The sequence below is a fragment of the Homo sapiens genome, chromosome 3 (genome assembly GCF_000001405.40).
Source record: "Homo sapiens chromosome 3, GRCh38.p14 Primary Assembly".
NCBI lineage: Eukaryota > Metazoa > Chordata > Mammalia > Primates > Hominidae > Homo > Homo sapiens.
In genome coordinates, this window is record NC_000003.12 from 107,777,347 (window position 1) to 107,803,117 (window position 25,771).

Here is a 25,771-nt window from a genome sequence, read left to right on the forward strand (position 1 = left end):
CTCAACTCTTGTATATTCCTCCAAAACAGTTGTAGTTAAAAACATTTTTAGGACACCCCTTAGCTAGCAGCCTAACACATTTACTGCTTATAAGCTGGTACTAAAATTGCTCTCCTCTTCCCAATACACCTTCTTCCATTTTCCATCTACCAGGCACAGCAGTTGTCCTACAGCCTCTTCCATCTGTCTAGGTTGCATGTTAGTTTAATAAGTCTCACCTAATGAAAGCCAGAAGCCAGCCTAGGATCCAGCAGGCATGTTGCCATTGCTGTGGGACCCTAGAGACAGTCAGCACCAGCCCAGAGATTGCCCAACTTTACGGGTGGCATTTCTGAAGTCATTGATGATTTAAGTTAAAGCATGTTGCCTCTGTGCCATTGCATTCATTGAAAACTGGCTTTACTTTGCTCATTGAATATTTTGTCTTCATTCTAGTCCACTCTCCAGAATGTTTTCCTAGTATTAATGCTTTTTGTTTGTGTATGTTTTAATCAAACAGTAGTCAGTACATTTTTTTAAAGAAACTAATTTTACAAAACTACCAATATATCATATGGTAATTTAATAAGCTTGATTATTAATAATAAGCTTATTAATTTAATAAGATTGATATTGATACCAATATATCATATGGTAATTTAATAAGCTTGCCATATATACATGTATATGAGTCTGTAAAATGAGAATTATATGAATAGAGTATGCTTTGTACTGAACTTTATGAAAAACTCCCATGCCAGTGGAGAAAATGCCAAATTCCCCACTTCAGAAATATTCTAATATTATAAATGATGTTTCTACTTTTCTAAGGTAATAACATAACCTGTCATACGAGTTTACTAAGAAAACTGTGTTGGTAAATCTCAAGCATTTCAGAAAAGGTGTTTTTTTCCTTGCACAGAATTTACTTACCTAATTCCCAGAGACCCTGTTTTCAAATAGAATATCCTAAAATATATTTCATGTCACTTTCTGTGTCATATTTGGTCATGTGCTGATTGATTCCCCTCTCCCCTTTTAATAGCTCCGCAAAGCTGGATGAAGAATTTGAAAAAAAATTCAACAGCCTCCCTCAATATAGTCCTGTTACATTTGACCGGAAATGTGTACCTGTCCCAAGAAAAAAGAAGAAGACTGGAAATGTGTCCTCAGAACCGACTAAAACCAGCAAAGGTTAGGTGTGACCTGTACCTTCCTGCCATGTGGTCAGAATCTCAAGTGACCCTTCAGCCAAGCTTTTAGCTCCCTTTAGACATATCATTGGATTTGGAATTGAGGCAGTAGGGAGTTAGAATCTTAGGTTGCTTTCCAAGATTATCTTTGTCCCTTTTTTTCTTCCTTATTTTCTGTAGCCTCTGTCCATTGGCATCTCAGTCTGTATATTTGCCCGTGATGGTGTAGCTAAGCTTTTGCAAAGATGTTACACATGGTCTTCAACCTCCTGCTCTCCAGAATTCTAATTTGGAATGTTAACCTTTTCTTGAACAGAAACTGCAGGTTGAGTCCAGTTCTTCTGTTCCCTGTGTCCGCAACAGGTTGAACTCGGGGACTGTAAATCATTCTTTTCACCTGATAAGCAGATGCTAACTACTCTTTACTGGCATTATAGACCAAAGGAAAATAAAACTACCTGAAATCCTCCAGCAACATATATATATATATATATATATATATACACACACACACACACATATACATTGGTTTTGTTAAATTTAAAAAATGCTTTGTTTAGTATATTCATTTTCAAGTAATCAGCTTCTCTACTGCCTATATCAGGGAAGCTTTTTTAAAGTTATCAGCATGACTTGGATGGATCTCAGCATTCATCAGTGACAATGCTGCAGTCCTAAAGGGGATTGTAAGAGGGTGGGGGCATTTTCAGTGCTCTCATCACCTGAGACCACTGTTGACATTTGTGGGACAGGCACTGGAGTACTAAACATCTTGCCCTTCAAGCACAGTGAAGGACTGTACTACCCAAAATGGCAATATTGCTTTCATTGAGAAACTTACCTTCTGATTTTTCTTAAGGTCTAAAGATTGATAGGGAAAATGTACCTCTAGTTTTCCATACATATATGAAATACTTCATTCAGTTGGCTCTCCTATAAGGACATGGAATAGAGAGATGAAGAACTTGGGTGGCTGGGCTGTAGTTGCTTTCAAGATCAGACTCTAGCAGGATTTGCTGGAAGAGTTATTTTAATTATCCTGTAAAAGTTGCTGCCTATTGCCTGCTTCATCAAATTGGATAATTTAATCAAATCAGATTAATTCCACTCTTTTGTATTTTAAATAGACCAATTAATCGATCAGATATAAATATTAACAAAGAGATATAATTTCATGCATTTTAGGGAATATTTAAGATATATAGATGAGGGAAAATTATGGTTTATTCTCTGGAGAAACCTGAACCTTTCTCCTTCAAAGCCTAAAAACCCTTTGCACACTGGAATTGACACAACCAAACAGGGTCAATTTGAGATCTGTATCTCAAGACAGAACTGAAAGGTTGAAGAAAATTTCCCCTTCATGATTAAAGCCAGGGAGGTATAGAAACGTCATTTTAGAATTAGCTCAGTTTTCCTCTGTGGTTAATAAAAACAAGTCTAGTGAATAAAGAACTAAAAAAGAAATGTTGTTGCATCGCCAAGTTTGCTCGTCTGAGAAAATAAAATAGGGTCGTATCAAGATCTTCCAAGATAGAAATAAAGTAGGCTTGTTGACAGGTAGGGAGCTGAGCACCATAATGGATTGCCAAATGAAATGATAGTCTCTGTGCCCTGGAGATATTTAGGAATAGGAAAAGTAGTCCATGAGCCCAAAGATACCAAGTATCTTGAGCTCCCATAATTCTTGGATTTAAAGTTGCTGATAAATACCTGACAAGCCAATAAAATGGAACTTAATTGATAGATGTGCAGGACATTATTCCTTCTTCCACTCCCAAAACATTCACGTTAGAGCTTTGAAGTTGGCTGAATTATGTCTCAGGGAATGTAACAATAGATTTATTTTTGTAAAGCTATAAAACCCTGAAGTTAGGATCTATTTTCATGAGACCTTCTCTTGGGTCTTAGTTGTCTGTACGATTTTTCTCTCCCAGCTGAGATTAACAGTATTTCTTTTGATGTGAAATAGCTTTTTGGAGCTTTGGATTATACTTCATACAATATCATCTTAACTCTTCCATTATACCTCTCAAGCCACAAAGTCACTGGTTCTTATATAGTATATCAGTAATTACATATGTGGGAAGTCTTCCAAGATGAGATTTTGTTCTGCCTTCAGATTTGTGAAGCAAAATGCAATTAAAATAAGCAGAAATTAAATAATATATTATCTATTCAGCAAACTAAAGAAATAGTATTTGTGACTGATTGTAATTTGGCATTAGCAGCACCAATATACTAGACTACAAGTTATTATTAATGAAATTATCATACCAGCTGTGCTGTAATTGCCTGATCTTTAGGGGACAGAGGAGATTATTTTCTTAGACTCTAGACCCTTTCCACCTTTGCATAATGAATCATTCAGAGCAAACATTGTGTATGAGATCATTAGTTCATTAATAAAAGAGTATATGTCCATCAGAAACCTAATTTTTCCTCTGATAATTTGCCATTTGTCTATATTTTATTTTTTCATTTGTCATCATTCAATATTCATTATATTTTCCTTCATGACTTATACTAGGTGCCTTTTTAGGTACTTCAGCTTACATAAAATGTATAGAATTTTTCTAAAGTGTAATTTCTAAAATAAATTTGTATGTATGCATTTATATAGTTGTATATCTCAAAGTCATAGTACCTGCTTGGATTTATTCCTCTGTTTTCCCAGTAGTCTCCATATTCGTATCTGTATTTCTAAGGAGTCTCTTCCTGTCTTTCCCATGGTCATCCTACTATCTCTGCCCTTCCTCTTATGTCTGTGTCATAGGTCTTGTCAAAAACTTGACAATGAAAAGGGATGAAAATAACTTTAAAGGCCACTTTCCTCCAACTTGGGCTATGTTATAGAACAGAGCATGATGACAGGAATAGGATTTCCCTTTCCTTCTAAAAATGAATTATCCAGTAAATTCTAATCTAACTCACAATGCAATTCAGCTGAATCAGCCCAAACTTAATGTTTTCTGAGTCATCTCTCTGTTATTTTGAAATATTTTTAAAGGAAAGCTTTAAATTATATGTCTAAATTTAATTGTAACTTCCTAAGAGATTTGTTTTACACATGTTTTTACATGTACTGATAATGTATGAAGCATTGTTTACGAAAGTATTAGAAGTCAGTTCTCTGTAGAATAGTAATTTTTCAGTGGAAGTAGGATCATGGAGAAAAAAAATTGTGTTGAAATTATGCCTCATCTTGACTTATTAGACTCACTTCTTCACCTTATTCCTTCTATCTTTACATAGTTCCTTGGCCTATTATCAAACATACTGTTGATCCTTCTTATATTTTTTCAATCCACACTTACATTTTAAGACTAAAATCAAAAATGGTTAAGGCATTGAGTCTTTCAAAAAATCACAGTGGGAATAAAAGAAGCAGGTTTACAAGATTGAAAAGACAGAATCCTCTGTTTGAGGTGGGGCCAAGCCAATAGTACTTTCAGTCTTACAGAGCCGAGATGTGATGATAGATCTCCTATTAGGAAATTTTAGCTTCCAGATTGGGCAGAGTTCTGTATCTTTCTCCATAACTGTTTGAAAGTCTCCGCTGCCACCAGATTTCTACAGGAATATGGTGGCAGCACCTTTGCAGGTATAAAACGTATACCTGATACAATTTTGAGTTCCTTAACAATGCATGCATGTCCAGCCCAATGAAGTGGCTCCTCCCTCTGAATGAATCTTAACTTGATTGTGACTGATTGACTCAGAGAACTTATTCAAGTCAGTAAATGCACATGCCCTGCAGGTGGGAGCACATTGCTATAAATTATTGCATAGGAATATATTTTTTCATTGGGTACTCATTACTTACAAGTCCAATACAGAAATGGTAGCCTAGTCTTAGAAGAAAACCCTTGCTCTTTATATATATACACATATATATAGTTTAAAAACATGAAACTATAGAACCTGGGCAAAAGCCACCACCACCAGAGTTACGCCTGACATTTGTTTCTCACAACAGGTGTAAAGAGCAGGTTCACTTAATTCACCTTACTCACTGACCTTGAGAAAGTATCGTGCTAGGCTCATGCTGAAGTGGCTCCTGTGTCACTGCAACTTCTCACCCCCAAAACATTCATTTTTCAGCAAACCTTGAACAAGAATGTTCTGGAAAGGTTATTGTCAGTGTCCTTCTGGCACCCCTCCTAATCTCTCGGCTTGTCATTTGGCCCTTTTGTTTTCTGCCCAGCTGTGAAGTTGAGGTGCAAAGGAGATTGATACCTTCAGAATACGGGTCATCTGCCCAAAAACTTAAGTGGAGACCTAAGCCAGTTTGCATACCAGCAATGAGTGATTTTTTTTTCATAAGGAAGCTGAAGCTGATGCAGATATTCCCTCAAGAAATTTGGTAGGGAAAGAGATGGGACGGAAGCTTGAGATATCATAGTAGAGTGAAGAACAGTTGTGAATATTTGTTTTCTGAATGATTCCTTCTAAAAGCCCTTCTGCATTTTACTTTCTACCATTCTTCCTCCTCCATGGATACTTCTACATTAATATAATAATTGACTAAGGAAAAGATGTAATAGTAAATTTCCTTATATTTGCTATTTATTACAGATTTTGACTTTATTTTCTGTAGACAAAATACCCAACATATACACTATGCTGATTGGCAGAAATCAAATTTTTCACTTCTTGACTCTAAAATGGCTGCTTCTCAGTGACTACAATTAAATCTTATCTATTTGTTTTCGAGTTTGTCACTTTCTTTTTTCATCTGAAGTTGTCATTTACTTAGAGTAGTTTTATATCTATAATTTGGGGGGTGGCCAGAAGAAAGGAATTTTAAAAATGTAAGTTTATATAAGCTCTTCTGTGTACAAAACTACTATGATTGTTATTTTTTCATGTTAAAATTGACAAGCTCTATCTTTAGCTTAGTCTTTAAATTACTTTTTAGATTTCTCTGATTATGATTGGGTCCAAAAATATGTATTTCTTTTCTTCTTTCCTAACACACTGCATACGTCAAATCATTTTGCTTCTGTGAACTACTTCTTTATATCATTCTTCCTATGAGCCAATACCCTATTATTAAGTTATTTTCCTACAGGTAAATCACTAGGATCTTTATAATCCTGAGTAGTAATTTTTCTCCTTTCTCCTACGTTGGTTTTCCATGATTGCCTATGTATCATTCAGGTCCACCAGCCTAGTTTCTTGGGTTGTATAAAACACATGAGGCAGTGATTGCAAATAGATTTTAGATACCTGTAATATTAGTGTAGTATGTACATGTGATATATTTTCTTTGTACTTGTTAAATTTATTTTCTTTTCTCTTGTTGCTCACTTTTTCCCAAAGAGGCAAACAAGGAAGCATTTCTAGTTTCATTTCAAACCACCGCTAGTCAATTTAGAAGCATTTGCTATTGGTTATTTAGAAGGATTGCTTAGTGTAGTCATCAAAAAACACTTGCACAGATTTATGGTATCAGTAATAACAGCAACAGCTGTAATTTCTTGAGCTCTTACTTTGTGATAAGCAGTGCATTAAGAGCTTTATTTGTTCATGGAATAAATATTGAGAACCTGTCATGTGCTAAGCACCATTGTAGGCATTTAGATTATATCTGTGAATGAAAACAACCCTACTGCCATCAAGATTACATTATAATGGGGGAACCAGACAATAAATAAGCCTAAGCAATAAGCAAAATATATAATTTGTTTGAAGGTGAGACGTACAGTGGAAAAAGAATTGGTGGATAGAGCAACTAGGCAAAAGATCAACAAGAAAAGGCTGGAACCAACACTACAAACCAACTAGAACTAACAAACATATAGAACTCTCCACTCAGTAATGGCAGAATGTATATTCTTCACAAGCATACATGGAACAATCTCCACAGTAGACCATATGTTAATCCATAAAACCAACCAATAAATATAAAAGGATTGAAATAATACAGAGTGTGTTCTCTGACCATAGTACAATGAAATTTAAAAATCAGTAGTAGAAAAAAATTGGAGAAACTCACGAATATATAGAAATTAAATACACTTCTACATAACTGTCACATCAAAAAAGAAATCAAAGAGAAATCAGAAAGTACTTTGAAATGAATAAAAATGAAGACACAGTATAAGAGAATTTAAGAGATGCATCTAAAGCAAACTTAGAGGGAGAAGGGGAGAATTATAGCTCTAAATGCCTATATTAAGAAAGAAATCTCAAATAAGTAGCCTAGCCTTCTACTGTAAGACACTCAAAAAAGAAGAGTAAACCAAACTCAAAGGAAGCAGAAGAAAGGAAATAATAAAGATTAGAGAAGAAGTTGATGAAATGAAATTAATTAAATAATACTAAAACAGTAGAGAAAAATCAATGAAACCAAAAACTAGTCCTTTGAAAATAACAAAATTGAGAAATTTTAGCTAGATTGACCAAGAAGAAAAAGAGAAGACTCAAATTATTAGAATCAGAGATGAAATAGAAGACATTACTACTGGCTACAGAAATGAAAAGGATTATAAAACAATACTATAAACAACTAAAGCCAATAGATGAGATAACATGTATGAAATGAACAATTCCTAAAAAGACACAAACTACTGAAACTGGCTTAAGAAATAGATAATCTTGATAGATGCATAACTAATAAAGACATTGAACTAGTAATTTTTAAAGTATCTGGGGGAAAAAAAAAAAAAAGCCCAGGCCCAGATGGCATCACCACTGTATTCTACCAAACATTTAAAAAAGAATTTACACCAATTTTTCACAAATGAATCCAGAAATTACAAGAAAAGTAAACACTTCCCAATTCATTCTGTGAGACCTGTATTACTTTAATGTCAAAGACATTCAAGACATTCTCAAGACAAAGACATCACAAGAAATGAAAACTGCAGATCAATATCTCTTACAAATGTGAACACAGAAATCCTCAACAAAACACTGGCATACCAAATTCAGCAACATATGAGAATTATACATCATGACTAAATGGGATTTTACCTCATGACTGCAAGTTTGCTTTAATATTCAAAAACCAATTAGTGTAACATACCCTACTAATAGAATACAAAACAAAAACCACTTGATCATCCCAATAGATCTAGGAAAAGCATTTGATAAAAGTCAATGCCCTTTAAAAAAAAAATTACTCAACAAACTAGAGTTAAAAGGGAAATTCCTCAGCCTGATAAAAGGCATCTACAAAAAATACACAGCTAACATGATACTTAATGGTAAAATACTGGATGCTTTCCCCCTAGGCAAAGGGGCAATACAAGAATATCCACTCTCACCACTTATTCAACATTGGACTAGAGGTTCTAGCCAGGGCAATTAGGTAAGAAACAGAAACAAAAGGTGTCTAGATTAGAAAGGAAGAGGTAAAATTATATTTATTCTCAGATAACATGACCTTGTATATAGAAAATCCTAAGGAATCCACCAAAAAACTATTACAGCTAATAAATGAGTTTAGTAGAGCTGCAGGTTATAAGGTCATTAGATAAAACTTAATTATATTTTGATACACTTAAACAATGAACAATCTAAAAATGAGATTAGGAACACAATTCCATTTACAATAGCATCAAAAAGAGTAAAGTACTTAGAAATAAGTTTAACAAAAGAAGTACAGTACAATGAAAACAAATCATTGCTGAAACAAATATGATAGAAATTAATAGAAAAACATCCCATGTTCATGGATTGGAGGACTTCTTATTGTTAAGATGGAAACACTCTCCCAAATTGATCTACAGATTCAACCCAACCCCTCTTAGAATCCCAGCTGACTTCTTTGTAGAAATTGACAAATGAGTCTAAAATTAATGTAGAATTGCAAGATATTCAGAAAAAACAAAACAATCTTAGAAGAAAATAGTAGTTGATTTTAAAACTAATTACAAAACAATGGTAATCAAGAGAGTGTTGTACTAGAATAAAGACAGACATATAAATCAGTGGAATAGAATTGGTAGAGAACCTGTCATAAACCTGACATTTTTGGTCAACTAATTTTCAACAAGGGTGCCAAGAATATCCAATGAGAACAGTAGAGTCTTTCCAAAAAATGATTCTGGATCAACTGAGTATCTACATTCAAATGAAGTTGGACACTTACCTCATACAATGTACAAAATTTAACTTAGAATAGATCAAAAACTTAAATGTTAAAGCTAAAACAATAAAACTTTCAAAGCAAATGGGCAAATCTTTATAACCTCAGATTTGGCAGTGAATCCTTAAATATGATACCAAAAGCCCAAGCAACAAAAGACAAAATAGATAAATTGGACCATATCAAAATTTAAATCTTCTGCGCTTCAAAGAACACTGCCAAGAAAGTGAAAAGACATCCCACAGAATGGGAGAAAATATTTGCAAATCACATATCTGATAAAAAAACTTTTATCTAGACTGTATAAGGAATGTTTACAACTTGGCAGTAAAAGACAGCTCATAAAAACGGGCAAGTGATCTGAATAGATACTTCTCCGAATAAGATATATAACAAATACGTGGCCGATAAGTACAAGAAAATCCAGTTAATATCATCAGTCATCAGGGAAATGCATATCAAAACCACAATGGGAATAATACCATTTCACATCCTTAGGATGGCCATAATAAAAAAGACAGATAATAACAAATGTTGACAAAGATGTAGAGAAATTGGCCTAAGCTTTATTATTTCCTTTCTTCTGGCCAGGATGGTCTTGATCTCTTGATGTCGTGATCTACCCGCTTTGGCCCCCCAAAGTGCTGAGATTACAGATGTGAGCCACTGCACCTGGCCCACCAACTGTTGAATGAATAAACAATCCATTAAATGGAATATTATTCAGCCCTGATACATGCCGTAGCATGGAGGAGCCTTGAAAACATTATGCTAAGTCAAAAATCACATTATATGATACTATTTATATGAAATTTCCAGAATAGGCAAACCTATAGAGACAGAAAGGAGATTAGAGGTTGCTTAGGGAGAGGGGGAATACAGGTATAGGAGTAGTAGTATTAAAAAGGTTTGGAATTTATTTTTGAGGTGATGAAATGTTCAAAAATTGGTGCCGGTTGCAAATATCTGAATATAAACACAAGTTTTATACTTTAAATGGGTGAATTGTATGGTATGTTAATTATATTTCAACAAAGCTGTTTTTAAAAATCAGTTAAAACAATAGGTTTGTGAGGGAACGGGAGATCAAGTGATGGGCATGGGGTTGGCTTGCAGTTTTATATAGAGTGGTCTGAAGATAGTTAAGTAAAGCCTTGAAGGAGGTGAGGAAGTTAGCCGTGCGGACATCTTGGAGAAGAACATTTTCTAGGCCATCTTGGAGAAGAACATTTTCTAGGCAAGGTAATGGCTGGTTCAGAGATCCTAAAGTCAGGAACACTGAGACTACATGTGCAGAGGACTGCCAGGAGGCCCATGCAGCTAGAGAGACTCAAAGGAAAGGAGTGGCAGGATATGAGGTTATGGAGGTAATGGAGCTCTGGATCTCTTAAGTCCTCGTAAGATAGTATAAGATTGCTGACTTTTCATATACACCCAATATAAGAGGTCTGGCTGGGGTGATGCATTTTTGAGTCTTCAACCTATAGCTGGTATTTATTTTATTTTATTTTATTTCATTTTATTTTAAAGCCCTGACAGTAGAGGTAATCACCAGATGAGTGAGAATAGAGACAAGGACAAGGGCCAAGCCCAGAGCTTTCCAAAATTAAGAGGTCAGGGAAAATAATAAGCAAAGGAGAGAGAGGGAAATATCAGTGATGGAGAAGAGAAAAGAAGAGAAGGTGGTATCCTAGAAGCCCAATGAAGGAGGCATTCAAGGCAGAGGGTGTGGCTCTAGTGGTCAGAAGCTACAGGAACAGCCTGGTGCAATAAGGACCCACAATTGGCCTTCACAGCATGGGGGTACTGGATGACCCCTTGAAGAGCAGTTTTCCATGAGTGGCAGGGCAGAAACCTAGTTGTAGTGAGTTTAAGACAGAATGAGGCTGGGCACAGTGGCTCACACCTGTAATCCCAGCATTTTGGGAGGCCAAGGTGGGCGGATTGCTTGAGCCCAGCCTGGGCAACATGGTGAAACCCCAACTTTACAAAAAAAAAAATACAAAAAATTAGCCAGGCATGGTGATCCCCACCTGTAGTCCTAGTTACTCAGGAGGCTGAGGTGGGAGGATTGCTTGAGCCCAGGAGGTGGAGGTTGCAGTGAGCCGAGATCATCCCACTGCACTCCAGCCTGGTGACAGAGTGAGACCCTGTCTCAATAAATACATAAATAAATAAATAAAGACAGAATGGAAAGAGAGAAACTGGAGACAGCCTAGGCAACCCTTCTGTGGAATTTTTGCTACAGAAGGAATGAAGAACTAAGGCAGTAACTGATGTGAGGGAAGTTAGGTTAGGAGCCACCTTTTTCTTTTCTAAGTTAAAAGAATTTGTTTGTATAGTGATGGAATGGCCCATTAGAGAGGGAGAAATGATGGTGTTGAGCTGGACAAGGAGGGTGGGGCTATGCCATGGGTGGAGGAACTGACCAGATGGGAGCATCAAATGGTTCACCTGTGGCCAGAAGGCAGAGCATGTAGTTGCAGCTGTTGGTAGGTGGAGAGATGCCACCGGGGCTTTGGGGAGGTCAGTGCTGTTGCTGGTATTTCTGATTGTTCACTGAAAAAAAAAAAATCTCAATTTTGTTTCTTTATCTGAGAAAACTAAGAATCTGAAACATCTCCCCCTTCCAACCAGAATAAAGTTTTTTGGCAGATATTTTCTCTTTTTAAGTCATTTTTTCTTCTTAGATTATTCTCATAAAAGGCCAGAAAGCTATCTAATGCTGTCGGGTCAACTGCTGTCCTGAAAGTGCTATCCTTGTTGTGAAAAGCAGTTTCATTGGAGAGATAAAACACATATTCCATCCTTTCCTTCATGGTATTTAGGAGTCTAAAGTAAAATCTTTTCTCTATTACAGACTCTAGCCACTTTGCTGTTATTGGTTGTAGTTTGTTTCTACTCACTGTATCTGCAGTTTCTGCTTAGGGAGTCCCAGCCCTAATGGAGGCTTTGCCCAATACATTTCTAAGGAAAATCTCACTGGGTTTAAATAAGCCTAAAAAGGGGGCTAAGCACCAGTTAAGTAGGTGAAGATGCAAGATGACATTTATTGAGATTCAATTTGCTTATTCCACAGGAGGGAGGAGGGTGGAATTGTTGAGAAATACACAATATTTTTTATGAAACATTGTGAATTTAAAATATATTTATATTAATATTGTCTGTAGGTCCTTTCCAGTCTCAGAAAAAGAACTTATTCCACAAAATTGTCAGCAAATATAAGCACAAAAAGGAGAAGCCCAATGTTCCGGAAAAAGGTATTGGTGCCCTCCATCCTCCATGAAGGGTTCTTGGTCACCTCCATTGTGATTCATCTTTGAGTAATGCTCCCATGCACTGCCTTTGCCTTGTCCTCCCCTCTGCTTGCTTCAGTGCCATCAGCTCCTGACGCGGGTGTTCTCATTCTTTCCGGACTCTGCAGCTAATGCAAATCTCCTTCACTTGGATTGCTGTTCAAATCCATATTTGTCTCTATTTTCAGAGCCCCATATGAATCCTAAAATTGCCTCTTCTCATCTGTATTTGGTGCGTTTTGCAATTCAGTCTTCTTGACCACTTATCCATTTATTTTCTTTGACTATTCTTGGTTTTCACATGTTTGGCAGCCCTTCATACCATGACCACATTTTCCTACTTCATGAAATCTTACAGTTTCGTGTTCATGTGAAAGTGCCCCCGTTTCTGTACTTCCTCTGACACTTGGGGATTCTTGCGGACCTTTTTCTCCACTCTTAAGTTGTAACCTGTGTCTCTTCTTCCACCCCCCCTCGTTTGCCAGGCTCTTGTTCCGACCTCTTTCAGTCACATGCCTGTTACTTGAAAGGGCAGTAGAGACTGATTGTACTCTGTCCCCTCTTTACTCGGAACGTCTGTCTCATTGGTATGATCTTGATGGGCCTTTAAACCTCTTCAGGGCTCATCTTAAGATCTCTTTCTTCCCATAGTGCAGGACTCCTATTCTTATTTCACATAAAAGATAAATCTTCCCATCTGGCTCAGTGCAGCCAAGTATTCTGTAGGTCGGGTTTTCTTTAGCATCTCCCTGCATGTTAGTGTCGTGACTACCATAAACCAACTCATCCGGTGCCCATTTGCATCCTACTTGCATGGCCAGATGTGAAGCATTCCGTGTTTCTTGAATGAGGCTTTAAACGCAGCTGTCTCCTGTGTGTAGACATGTGTGCCTGTATGTTCCTGTATGTAACCTTTTACTTACTTTGGGCCTTCTTTTCACTTCCACTTCAGCTTCTTAGTTTTGTTTTGTATATTGATATTATTTTTTCTTCTGCTTACAGTAAAGAAACATTATTCATTAGGTGAAAACATCAGCTTTTTTCATTCCGTTTTACTGATCTTCAGATTACTTTGATTAAAGTTACAGAAATAATCCAACACTATATTTCATAAAAGACAAAAATTTTATTTTTAATCCATTTTCTGTACAGCCTCATTATTTTAGTTGGCAAATACCATTTTAAGAATTAAGTAATTGACATAAAATTCAGCTTTATTTGTGTGATGTTTCAAAAGTTAGTTTGTATATCATCTTGTTTTTGTAGTATGGGGAATCTACTAAGAGTAGAGTTTCACTTTTCTTTCCTTTTCTGTCATTGTTTTTAGGAAGTGGGGATAAATGGTCAAACAAGCAACTCTTCTTGGATGCCATTCACCCTACAGAAGGTAAGACAAGCAATGTTATTTAATTTGAGACAATCGGAGCTGGAAATGACATAAGTTGTATAGGTTTTTAAAAGGTATAATTTATATAGGTTTAAACAACAGCACTAGACTTATGTGTTCATAATTAGGTTATTTTTAATTTTCACATCAAAGCTGCTATTTGGGGGACTCCTGCCAAGGGTCAGGCAATGTGTCATGTGGTGTTTAATCTGTTAAAGGGCGATTTGTAACCTTTGAATCGCATTAATCAGAGATTGGAGTTTTTCATAGCTAAATGTATTCAGCATTGCAGTTCATGTTGCAGGCAGATGCTTATGCCCAGTGGGAGCTGGAATAACAACCTGGTTGGCTGGGCATGGGCAGGCCTGCAGGAGTAACTTCTGACCTGGGTGTTTTCCTAGCCCATTAAAATAAACACCCCAGCAAGGCACAGTGGCTCACGCCTGTAATCCTAGTACCTCGGGAGGCCAAGGCGGGCAGATCATGAGGTCAGGAGTTCGAGACTAGCCTAACCAACATGGTGAAACCCCGTCTGTACTAAAAATACAAAAATTAGTTGGCTGTGATAGCGCATGCCTGTAATCCCAGCTACTCAGGAGGCTGAGGCAGGAGAGTTGCTTGAACCCGGGAGGCGGAAGTTTCAGTGAGCCAAGATCGTACCACTGCACTCCAGCCTGGGCAACAACAACAAAAAAGAATAGAACACCCTGAGGCTTATGGGTAGCCCAAGAAAAATCCAATATTAACTAGTCATGTTATAGGTCCTAGGTGCAGATTTGATTTTGAAATTTCTCACGGCCATATTTATTTGTGACTTTATATTATTACTGTTAAGCATTGAGCCCTTAGGTGAAGCCTAATTTCTTCAATGGTTAAGAGGCCACCTCTCCCTTCTTCCTGTTGATTCTCTTTTTTTCATTGCAGATATTTTAAAAGAGCTGACATTTTTGTAGGGCTTAATTAGGAGTCACTTCATTTGAAAACTAGAAGGGATTTTAGAGATGATTTGTTTCAACTCCTTTGATTCACTTATATCCAGAAATGGGAACTTCATGACCTAGTCCACATCTTTTGACTCTCAAATATGCTATCATTCCTTTACTGAAAATGAGAAAAAAAATGCACAATTGACGTAAGTCACTTATCAGAAATATTCATGTTTTTAAGATAGCTAGCAAAAATGGTCAAGTTTGAGTTCATGTTAAACATAAGTATTTTTGATTTAGTAGGCATCATTTACATGAGCCACATCAGCTTCCGTGTCATTTTACTTTTACAGAAAACGCCAGCACTACATCTATTATCTCACTTGTTGATTCACATTCACAGCCTCTATGGAATATTCTGCTTCAGTGCTGGCAAAACAAAATATGAATTCTGCTGTTCACAGCATTAAATCCTAACATCCTCAAATTGATACATTAGCTCTTGTATATTTTAAAAATATATTCCATATAGTTTTTTTAATGTAAGGCACTGATGAACTAGCAGAAGAGTTTGAAGGACATTTAGGACCACTTTACTCTTTACTTAAAATGTTTACTCTTTACTTAAAATGATACTGTTCTAAGTACTTTGTTCTGTTTTTTTAAACACTGAAAACCCTACAGAGGTACCAGAGCAAGTGCAGTGTGGTAGAAAGAGCACTTACCTGGGAGTTAGGAAATCTGGGTTCTAGTCTCAGACCTGCCACTAATCAGCATTTTTCAGTATGACAAATTGTTTAACCTCACTAGGATTACTCTCCACATTGGTATTAAGTACATATATAATTTGTGTGTTTAGAGATTGGGTGAATGATGAGATGTAGTAGTACACAGACTGTAAATTCTGTTTCCCCTCTAACACTTGATAATGATTTTATTGCTCTGATATCTTGAGTAAGTATTGTGTTACTAGAAGTACTATATTCTGTAGCCCTAATTTTCTGCTTTTGGGGGCAGAAAAGTAAATCACTTTTGAGTCTTACAGGCAGTCCCAGGCTTTAGCAGAAATATAGTTATAATTGGTGATATTTAATTATATTTATTATTAATGTATATGAAACAACTTTTGGAGAATATGCACTGAAAAATGCATGTCCATTGTTTAGTGTAGAGTACAAACTCATTTTATGTGGCCAGGAAAAACAGGAATCAATTTGAGCATCAGAAATTACTAGTAATTTAAAGTAACCATTTTTGGTTTTTCATTTTCTTACTATCTCCAACATTTACTTGTTTGTGTAGTGACTATGTGCTTTGTGAGTTTTCTAGGCCTTTAATCCTCTCTCTCGTCTATGACTATATCACTGCTTATTGAAACTTCACCTTGGAGAGGGTATAAATATATGACAGAAAATATAGCAATAATATAGAATAATTTAAACATGTCTAAAATTAAAATCCTGCTCAAATGTTAGACAGGCATTGTTTGTAGCTGATGTCTTTAATAGAAATATTGAGTCAACTGATGCTATATAACTGTTCAGCTATTCTGATTTCTTCTAAAGTAGATGACTTCAAGTTCACTGTGTTTTCTTTATACTGCCCTGTGTACAGGCACCTTGCAATCTTTCTTTTTTTTCAAAATATCAGAAATATTTAGATGCTTAGTAATATGTTTAAATGCTAAGTTTATAATGTGTCTTAAACCCTGGGCTTTTACAATTCAAAATTGTTAAACCACTTTTTGAAATTTCGGTATATATGTATTAAAAAAAATTGTCCACAGGCTAGAATTAAAGGTAGGATTTTCAAATAAACCAAGAACACTACCTCCTACCTCTGCCACTGTGTTTATCTTTCCACCTAGTTATGGTGCCATATGCTCATGCTTTAAGCTAGAAGTTTCTAATTGCAATAATAATGATGATGATAACTAATACTTACTACCACTTTATAGTTTACAGGGGGCTTTCATATATATGTATATATTTTTTTCAATTTCATCTTAACAGCATTCCCAGTGAATTAAGGAGGGTTTATCAGCCCCGAATACATGGTAAGGAATTATGGCCTGAGCAACACAAGCAGATAGGGAAGAAACCATATCTCCATTTAAGTACATCAGCTACTACATTTTCCGTTTTTCATATTTGTAGACTTTTAACCCTCATTTGGTTCAAATATTGAAAATATAAATGGTATTTCACAACGGGGAAAAAAAAAACCCCAAAACCTAGGACTAGGAATCTCTGTTAAAATTCACTTCTTTGCAGTGTATAAATCTAATTACAGGCAGGAAAATTCTGGTTTATAGTTAGATTTTCACACACGATCCACAGTGCCCAATCTAACTCGATCTCTTTTCTTAAGTTTGAAATAGTTGCTATATAACTTCAGCAAAGTCTCCCAGGATGTTGGATAAGGCTCATTCGTTTCTTTTTCCTGTGTTCTATTCAGCATCTGACTGCTGTTTCAGCTCATGGGAGACCTACCAAAGGCAATTAGATTCCAGATCTGGCTATAATAATTTCAGTGCAAGTTTGAAACCCCAGTTGGAATGTGAATTCATGACTCTGGAGCACTCTAGTGGCCTCATGGGGTACAATACAAGAGCAATGCTGCTTTCCCAAAAAACCTACTCCACATTTTGGGATCAGATTTTGGAAAACAAGACGGTCTCTTATTGCTACATTCCTGATGTGGCTCCAGGAGTGAGCTTGCATCATCACTCTCAGATGATACGCACCAAGTGTGTTATGGTTATTGTTTGGGTGTAAAAACTAGCCCAGTGGATTTGTTCTGAAGTGTTCGGGTAGTTTTGTGTGCTCAATTAAAAGCTGGAAAAGAAATGACTAATTTGTTTTGGAGCCACAAAGCCTTTCTTTTCTTACATTTCCATTAGGTTGCGGGTTGTCGGGAGGAACTAGCTTGCTATCTTTGTACTCAACTTTTGTGCTTGTTTCCCTCTCTGAACTTTTTTCATCTCATGTCCCTCACCACCAAGCTTTTGTCTGCTTTGCCAATGTCGTTGGACTCAGATCTACTGTTTTGTTCCAGAAAATTACTTCTCGGATACAGTCCCATCTGCCTTCCCTAATTCTTCTGTCTTAGGGGAAGGGTCTCCCTGAGGGCTGATCCTGAAGGCTGTCCTCAGTCTAAACCACCAAACAAGACCATACGTTCTGGGGTTAACCCTTGGGTCAGAACATTAGTCTGGACCCTTATCCTCTTTCAAACTCTAGGAAGGTCACATTACATACCTTTTGCAAATGTGCATCATCTGCAGGGCCCATCATTGCATTTTGATGTAATAGTAGGTTTAGAGGAGACCTCTGGTTAATTGGCATTACCTTCTTTTGGGGAACTTATGAGAACCTCCGACGTAGTCTTTTTTTTTTTTTTTTTTTTTTTTTGCCTCTTCCACTTGGTCTGCAGTCTGATTCACTCCTTTACTTTCCTCCAATATACTGACCCTTGGGACTTGGGTATTGCTGGCCTGCTTTGGGCCCTCAGGCTCTTTGCCTGCTGGTTTCTGAGCTTTCCATAGTCACAGTCTGGTTTTAGGCAGAAACTGTACCTCCATTTGCAATCAACCCTTTTGCAGCTGTGCCTTACGCTTCTTACTGTGTTTTTACCAATTCATCTGGAACAAACTAGAAAAGGAACAACTATTAAGTAGAAATGAAACCATTTGAAGGCTCACCAAACAAACAAAAACAGTGCTAGTCACAGGAGTACTGTTTCCCAGCCTATGACTCTGGAGCTGACTGGTGGTTTGTTGTTGTTGTTGCCCCTGGCCAGATCTCTGATGGTAGCCTATGTAGCAAAGTTATTTTAGGGCTAGATGGCTCCTTTAAAGCTAATACAGTCCAACCTCCATCTCTGAATGAAGAAACAGAGGCCCATGGTTGGTTGGACTGCTGTTAGTAAATTTAAAAGTCAGTAGTAGAATTCTGGTCTCTCTGTGACTGTTACTTCCATTACCCCATGGTCTCTGTGTAAAAAGCAAGTCATCTTTCCCAACCGACTTGGCCTTTTTCTGGTATCCATGCCTTTTCATTGACCTCCTTGGTTCTTCTTTCCGCAGTCAGTTCTAATGTAAGATATGATACACCTTTCCATCTTTGGAACCCCACTATATACCCTTATTTCTACATGTTCTGTACTTTCCTGGGAAGGGGAAGTAGAAAAGGGAAGAGGTTAATGTTCTTTCTGGAATGTCCATCCACAATGTGGTGATTCTATTGGAGAGGTAAACAAGACTCCTGTAATCAGAAGGGACAGCTGATGGATCTGGATAAGAAATTCGAAATCTCGAAGCTTATGAATGTGCAATAGATGTTATTTAATGCTCATTGTAAATTCAGATTTTGGGCTTCTTTATACTTAAAGGAGGCTTTGAATTTTAAGGCTAAAATAGAATCATGCATCTTCTTTGGAGTGTTTCTTACCGAATTATTTTTTATTTTGCTGGAAGCTTTTATTGAAGTTTAAACTAAAAAAAAAAAACTTAAAATATGTACCACCACTGGCCTATGTTAAGCTAAATATCAAAGTATAAATATTCTAAGACTAAGTATAATAACTGAGTAAATTAATCCACCATTGAGGTAGATCTATTTGACCTGGGAATAGATCTGCAATCTAAAAGGAGTATGTTTTCTGACCTTTGATTACTTACTTGAAAAGGTGTTTGGGAGCATTGCCAAGTAGTTTTTTAAAACAACTGTTATCTTAAGCCTGTCTGCACACAGCCATCTGTTATGCAATATTGAGGTAAGGCCAAACCACAAATGATGGTGTGATTTCTGCTTTACATACTTTCTTTTGATGTAATTGAAATTATTTCCCACTTGTTTAGGAATGTGAAGCCTGGAATCAGCCTTTCTTTTGAAACATCTTTTAAAGACAAGGTGCCATGATTTCCAGGACAAATAATCTTATTAATTCATAGCCTTCTTTCTTGAGGATGTACCTAAATCCATTAAACACCTAGATTAAACATTTTAAATGAGGGCTGTGCAAGTGTTTATACCAACAAGTTCATTTTTTCACACCCTGAGTTATTCTTGCTCTAGTTTTTTTTTCCTCTTAGTTTAGCTTTTCTTCCAAATATATATATATATATATATATATATAGCTTTATTGCCAATATCTACCTTCAGATATGCCTCCTCTGGATTTAGTTTGCTTAGGGCTTGTTATGTCTGACATTAGTTTTCTGACCCACATTCTCCTTTTCTTTGTCAAAAATAATTTCTATGTCTATCCTAAGAAATTGGATAGTTAAAAATTATGAAAGTGCATCTTTTCCCGGCTTAAAAGCCCTTGGGTCACTGGAATTTCTTTAAAGTCCCAATCATAAAACTCAACTATGGTATACCCCTAAACACTTACTAAACTCATATCTACACATCTTGTCTTACTTTTAAGTTAAGGTCAGGAGGGGGTAAACTGCTAAGAAAATGAGTATGTAAGAAAAGACACAAGCTTCCCCAATCTGTGTAAACCAGGAGAAAAGTCTGTGGTACAGGTGTCTTCCTTGCTCTTGACAGAGTGACTCAGAATATAGGAGTGTGCTATCAAATGATTCATTGGGGTTACAATTAGGATACCTAAAACTAGCCTCTCCACAAGCCAGGATGACATGTGGGACTTCATTAAATTATCTCACTAAGTGTATTCCTTGTTTTAGAATTCAGTGAATGAAAGAGAGTTTCTTTCCTTGGCGTGCTGGCTTCAACAATGTTTGTCCTGTCCTTACTGCACAGTCAATCTACATGAAAGAAAGTCAGGCCTCAATTTCTTTTCTGATCAATTCAACCTGGTGCTTAAAAGCAAATGTCCCAACCATAAATATAAATTTAAGAAGGACATATTTAATTTTAGTGTCCTCTGAAGAAATTTCTTTTACCATCCTCTCTAGGCCAACTGGCCAAAAGGATCTCTCAGATAGGGACCCTGATCACAACTAGGACATAATTTACAAGAGGACATAATTTACTCAGATTTACCTAAATTATCGTCCCCACCAACGTGCAACACCCAGAGACTTAGAAAATGTAAAAAAGAGGGGGTGTCTTAATTCACTGCATTTAATTTATCAAAGCAAATATCAATTGGTAGTAAACAAGTTAGGGGCAACGTTTTATTTCATTTTTTCCATCAGTACTTTGAAAACTCTGAGTGTAAATTCTCCATTCAGACGGGTCAGAAATTTAGACATGTTTCCTTCTAAGAGCAATTTTGGTGCCTTCTGTTTTTGTGCATAACTATGCATGGTATTTCCTATTTCAGCCATATTTTCAGAAGACAGAAACACCATGGAGCCTGTTCATAAGGTTAAAAATATCCCATCCATTTTCAACACTCCAGAGCCAACAACAACGCAAGAACCTTTGGTGGGCAGCCAAAAGAGAAAAGCAAGGAAAACCAAGATTACACACCTTGTCAGGACAGCAGATGGCCGGGTATCACCAGCAGGAGGTACTTTGGGTAAGAAGAGAGAGCTTTAGACCAGAGGTGTCCAATCTTTTAGCTTCCCTGGGCCACACTGGAAGAAGAATTGTCTTGAGCCACAATGAAATACACTAACAATAGCCAATGAGCTAAAAAAAAAAAAAAACAAAAACAAAAAAAACCAGGCCAGGCGCGGTGGCTCACGTCTGTAATCCCAACGCTTTAGGAGGCTGAGGTGGGTGGATCATGAGGTCAGGAGATCGAGACCATCCTGGCTAACACTGTGAAACCCCATCTCTACTAAAAATACAAAAAATTAGCCGGGCCTGGTGGTGGGTGCCTGTAGTCCCAGCTGCTTGGGAGGCTGAGGCAGGAGAATGGCGTGAACCCGAGAGTCGGAGGTTGCAGTGAGCCGAGATCGCGCCACTGCACTCCAGCCTGGGCGACAGAGTGAGACTCTGTCTCAAAAAAAAAAACAACAACAACAAACACAAAAAAATCTCAGAATGTTTTAAGAAAGTTTACGAATTTGTGTTGGGCTGCATTCAAAGCTGTCCCCAGCCACATGCAGCCTGCAGGCCATGGGTTGGACAAGCTTGCTTTAGACAGAGATAACCAGAGCAAGCAGATGACCACCATGTCAGCAAATGACTGTAAGCAACTGTGGTTCCTACTGAAAAATGAGTCTATTCTGCAGCTTTCTACAGACCTCCAAACATGTTTTATTCCATGTTTAAAATCATAGCTAGTTTTCCAAGAGCATATCTGAATTCCTAGAAAAGAAAGGTAGTTTTTAGGACTGTCATCTTCCCTTTATCTTTCTCAATGTGCACAAAAGCAATCTTAATTCCAGGAGATCCTATACTTTTAAAGATACTAGATGAATCAGTATTTGACCATGGTCTGCTGTTCGGGTCACTACAAGCCAGATTACCAGGCATTCAAACCAGTAGATTAAGCTTAAAATGCATCCAACATTCACTTCCTATATAACTGGTTTAGACCATGCAGGGAGCCTGAGAATGCTTCTGGATTTCTTGAGTTATCTGATTTAATTCACCAACTGGTGAATTTCTCCATTTTCAATCATGGCCTGTTGTCTGTTTGCTGTTCCTGGTAGCCTCTTTGGCAGTAGAATGACCGGAGGAGCCCAAGGTAAGGGGTGTGGCCGAAGAGTGATACTGAGACCCCCCGGCCGCAAAATCTTGGAGTGCTATACCAGCTAGGTACTAGTGGCCTTGGCTGTTGCCTTTCTGCCTCTCAGCACCTCCGCAATTTTATTTTATGTGATTTGGGTTAATCTAGGTGTTAATAGAGGGGAACTGTTTGCTTAGTTAGAGGACAGTTTATGAATTTTGTGCACTTCTTTTGTGTGTTTTGAATATTTAGATTGTTAGAAACATAGAGTATATTAAAGGCCCTGATTTTGCCCTGTCATATAAGAGAAAAAATTCAAAGAGGTGGAAGTTTTTGTTTGAGTACATTCAATACAATAGAAGTAGAATGAGGACTAACACCTAGATGTCCTGATGTTTAGCCCAGCAGTCCCCTCCCTCCTTTTCTGTCCAATCTGAGTTCTGTTCTGTGACTTTCATTTTGTAGATTGTTACATCCACATTTGTTTTCACTTGGAGGAGGAGTGAAGAAATATGAGAACAGTCCCATTTACATAGAAAAGTGTCATACCACTTTTGTGTCCTAATAGATAATATTTAAAGCTTTTATCAGTCATTTTCTATATTTACAATTTTTTTAAAACTATGATAAAAATTTCCCTTCTCTATAATGGCTACATAAGAAAGAAAGTATACTCATTTGTAGCAGGCATACTTGCACAGCATTTCATCCACCTCTTTGTAAAGACCAGAGGGCTTTGTCTTCTCTCCAGTAGGTCTTTAGAACAAAATAACAACTTGGGCTCTCATTAGAACTGGTTAATGTGCTGTATAGGCCATCCTAAGTGTTGGTATCACAGCATACCCAATGTCCAAGTTGCCATAGTAGGGCATGCTACAGCTTCATGAGAAATGCTTAGTCAGTTGGGTTTTTAAGGGCTCTTTTACAGCATCTACAGGCCCCTCTACAGAAGTCCCTTGGGTTTTATTTTAGCTGAGGCTCATTTTTCCTTCTCACTCCAAGACTGACCCATTCTTTGACCTCAGATAAAACACAGCTTCTCTTCAGCTCAGCCTCAGGGCACAGTGCTGTCCATAGTTGCAACTAAGCTTAATAAAAGAGCTTTGTTACTGAGGAGAAGAGATTCTGTAAAAGCCTTAATATTCGATGGATAGCAAAAGTGAATGGTAGAGAATGTTAGCTCTTTTCATGTTGACTGGCACAGCGTTTTCTATGTCTCTTCTCTGGAGAGAACAGAGTGATCCTCTCATGATGGATTTCTCTTTTGTTACAGATGACAAACCAAAGGAACAACTGCAGAGGAGTCTCCCTAAAGCAACTGAGACAGACTGCAATGACAAATGCTCACACAACACCGAGGTCGGGGAGACGCGGAGCAGTACTCCAGAAATGCCTGCCGTGTCTGCGTTCTTTAGCCTCGCTGCGCTGGCTGAAGTGGCAGCCATGGAAAATGTGCACAGGTTAGTGGTAGAAGGTGGAAGGAGAAAGCAACATGGAAACCAGATCAACCTCTTTGATGTGATTTGTGACATTTTTTACAGGGCATTGGGGTTCAAACTTGGTTCAAGAGCACTATTGGTTATATGAGGTATTACAAAAGCATATATGCTAATTAGCAGTGCGGGAAAATACCAGGGAATATAGTCAGCCAAGTATTTTATTTTGAATATGTTATCCTGTGGCTAAACTTCATTTCCGTAAAAAGCCTGAGAGCAGGGAAGCAGTATTATCTGACCAATGAGCTTTGGAGTCCCATTGCAGACTGAGGTTTGAGTCCTAGCTCCATCACCTGCAAACCGAAAGATCTTGACCAAGATTATTAACCTCTCTACCCTTGGTTTTTTTCCTCTAAAAAAACAGGGGCAGGTGGCACTCATTTCACAGAGATGTTATGTGGGGTAACTCTAGCATCCCAGTGCTGGTGTGTGGAATGCCCCTTATTGGTGATGGTGTTGGTGCCATCACCAGCCATCAGAAGACAGTGCAGTTCAAGGGAAAGAGCATTTTGGCATCTGACTCATGGCAGCCAGAGGCCTGGATTTTTCTTCAACTCTTCTGTGATTTCCTACAAAGTAATTTTTTTCTCTGGACTTTAGTTTTCTCAGCACACATTGAGCATAGTGATATCGCCAAAGAATTACGAAGTTGTAAGCATCAGACGAGATCATAGATGTGAAAACCCTTTGAACTCAGCGAAGCCCCACAGAAAGTATATTAAGTTCTAAGTGTATAATTGGGTATTCTGCTACTTAATGGATCCTTTGGGAAGGCAAAAAAGCCTGTTGTAAATTCAGGTATTTTATATTCCTATTCAAAGTGGATTACCCATGGATGAGCTGCTTTCTTAGACTTTCAGTCTTCAGTACAAAAGAGCTCTCAACCCAGTGCAGCTTGTGTAGCCAGCTGTAGGCCCCATGCTCCTTTTTGACATCCAGGTAAACCTGGAGTCCCCTGACGTGAGCTTGGTTTGCTTCTTGCTATTTACCTGTCATATTACAGTTTGAGTACTTCCTCACAAATAGCCTCTAGATATTTCCAAGAAGTCAAATTCCTCTTTATGTGTACACTGCAAGTTCCTAATAGCAAGTGAATGCTCACAGACATTGTTAAAATTCAGTGAGGTCTCTGAGGGAGACAATGCACAGATACTTCTCCATTTGTGGAGTTGTGCAGTCAAGGATAGAGGACAAGCACATACACGTGCAGTGAGAACTTAAAATATCTGCCTGAATGTTATTAAGTGTCCCTGTGAATTGTGGAAATAAGAGGGAATCTGAGAATTGAGAGAGGGATAATAATTCAAGGGTAGGAAAAGGCTAGCACATAAGCAGCTTGGCTGCTGCCTGTGTTCTAAGCGTGGTCACACCGTTGCTCTGTTAACCAGCCCTCCATGGTTCCCAATTTGCATCAGCAGAAAGCCACAGCAAACCTTTCCAATCTCATTGTCTCTGCCCTCCACACTCCCTACCCTGCAGTTAGGTGGAATCACTTACCCCTTTCCAGATACGCCAAGCTCTTGCCTTGTACATCCTCTGATCAGGTGAACTGCTCTCCTTCTCCCCACCCTAGTCCCCGGTCCTCTTCTCTCAGTCCTCCTGATGCCCTAGGCTGTGTGTTTCTTGTTGCTCCTGCATGCTATGCTCACACCTCTCTCAGACCACATTGGGATGTATTGATTTGTCGATACTTCTGTCTACTTTCAGTATATTTTGAAAGCAAAACAGTGGTTTTATTCTCTATGTTACCAGCTTGCTTAGTTCCTGTTATAACAATTGATAAATGAACAAATGAGTGGG

The 25,771-nt window shown here is 37.6% G+C and overlaps 1 protein-coding gene across 29 annotated transcripts in view; it reads left to right on the forward strand.

The window, feature by feature from the left end:
- The window catches only part of BBX (BBX high mobility group box domain containing), a 288,378-nt gene that overhangs the window by 254,385 nt on the left and 8,222 nt on the right, over nucleotides 1–25,771 (forward strand). For 16 of the 29 annotated variants that reach the window (XM_024453646.2, XM_011513001.3, XM_005247644.5 and 13 more), the window contains 5 exons: nucleotides 1,025–1,173; nucleotides 12,441–12,530; nucleotides 13,894–13,953; nucleotides 21,177–21,374; nucleotides 23,749–23,935. In XM_024453646.2, the coding sequence (XP_024309414.1) occupies nucleotides 1,025–1,173; nucleotides 12,441–12,530; nucleotides 13,894–13,953; nucleotides 21,177–21,374; nucleotides 23,749–23,935 (684 nt within the window). The remainder of the gene's footprint in view (nucleotides 1–1,024; nucleotides 1,174–12,440; nucleotides 12,531–13,893; nucleotides 13,954–21,176; nucleotides 21,375–23,748; nucleotides 23,936–25,771) is intronic. The other 13 variants (XM_047448599.1, NM_020235.7, XM_024453657.2 and 10 more) reach the window with 7 other exon arrangements.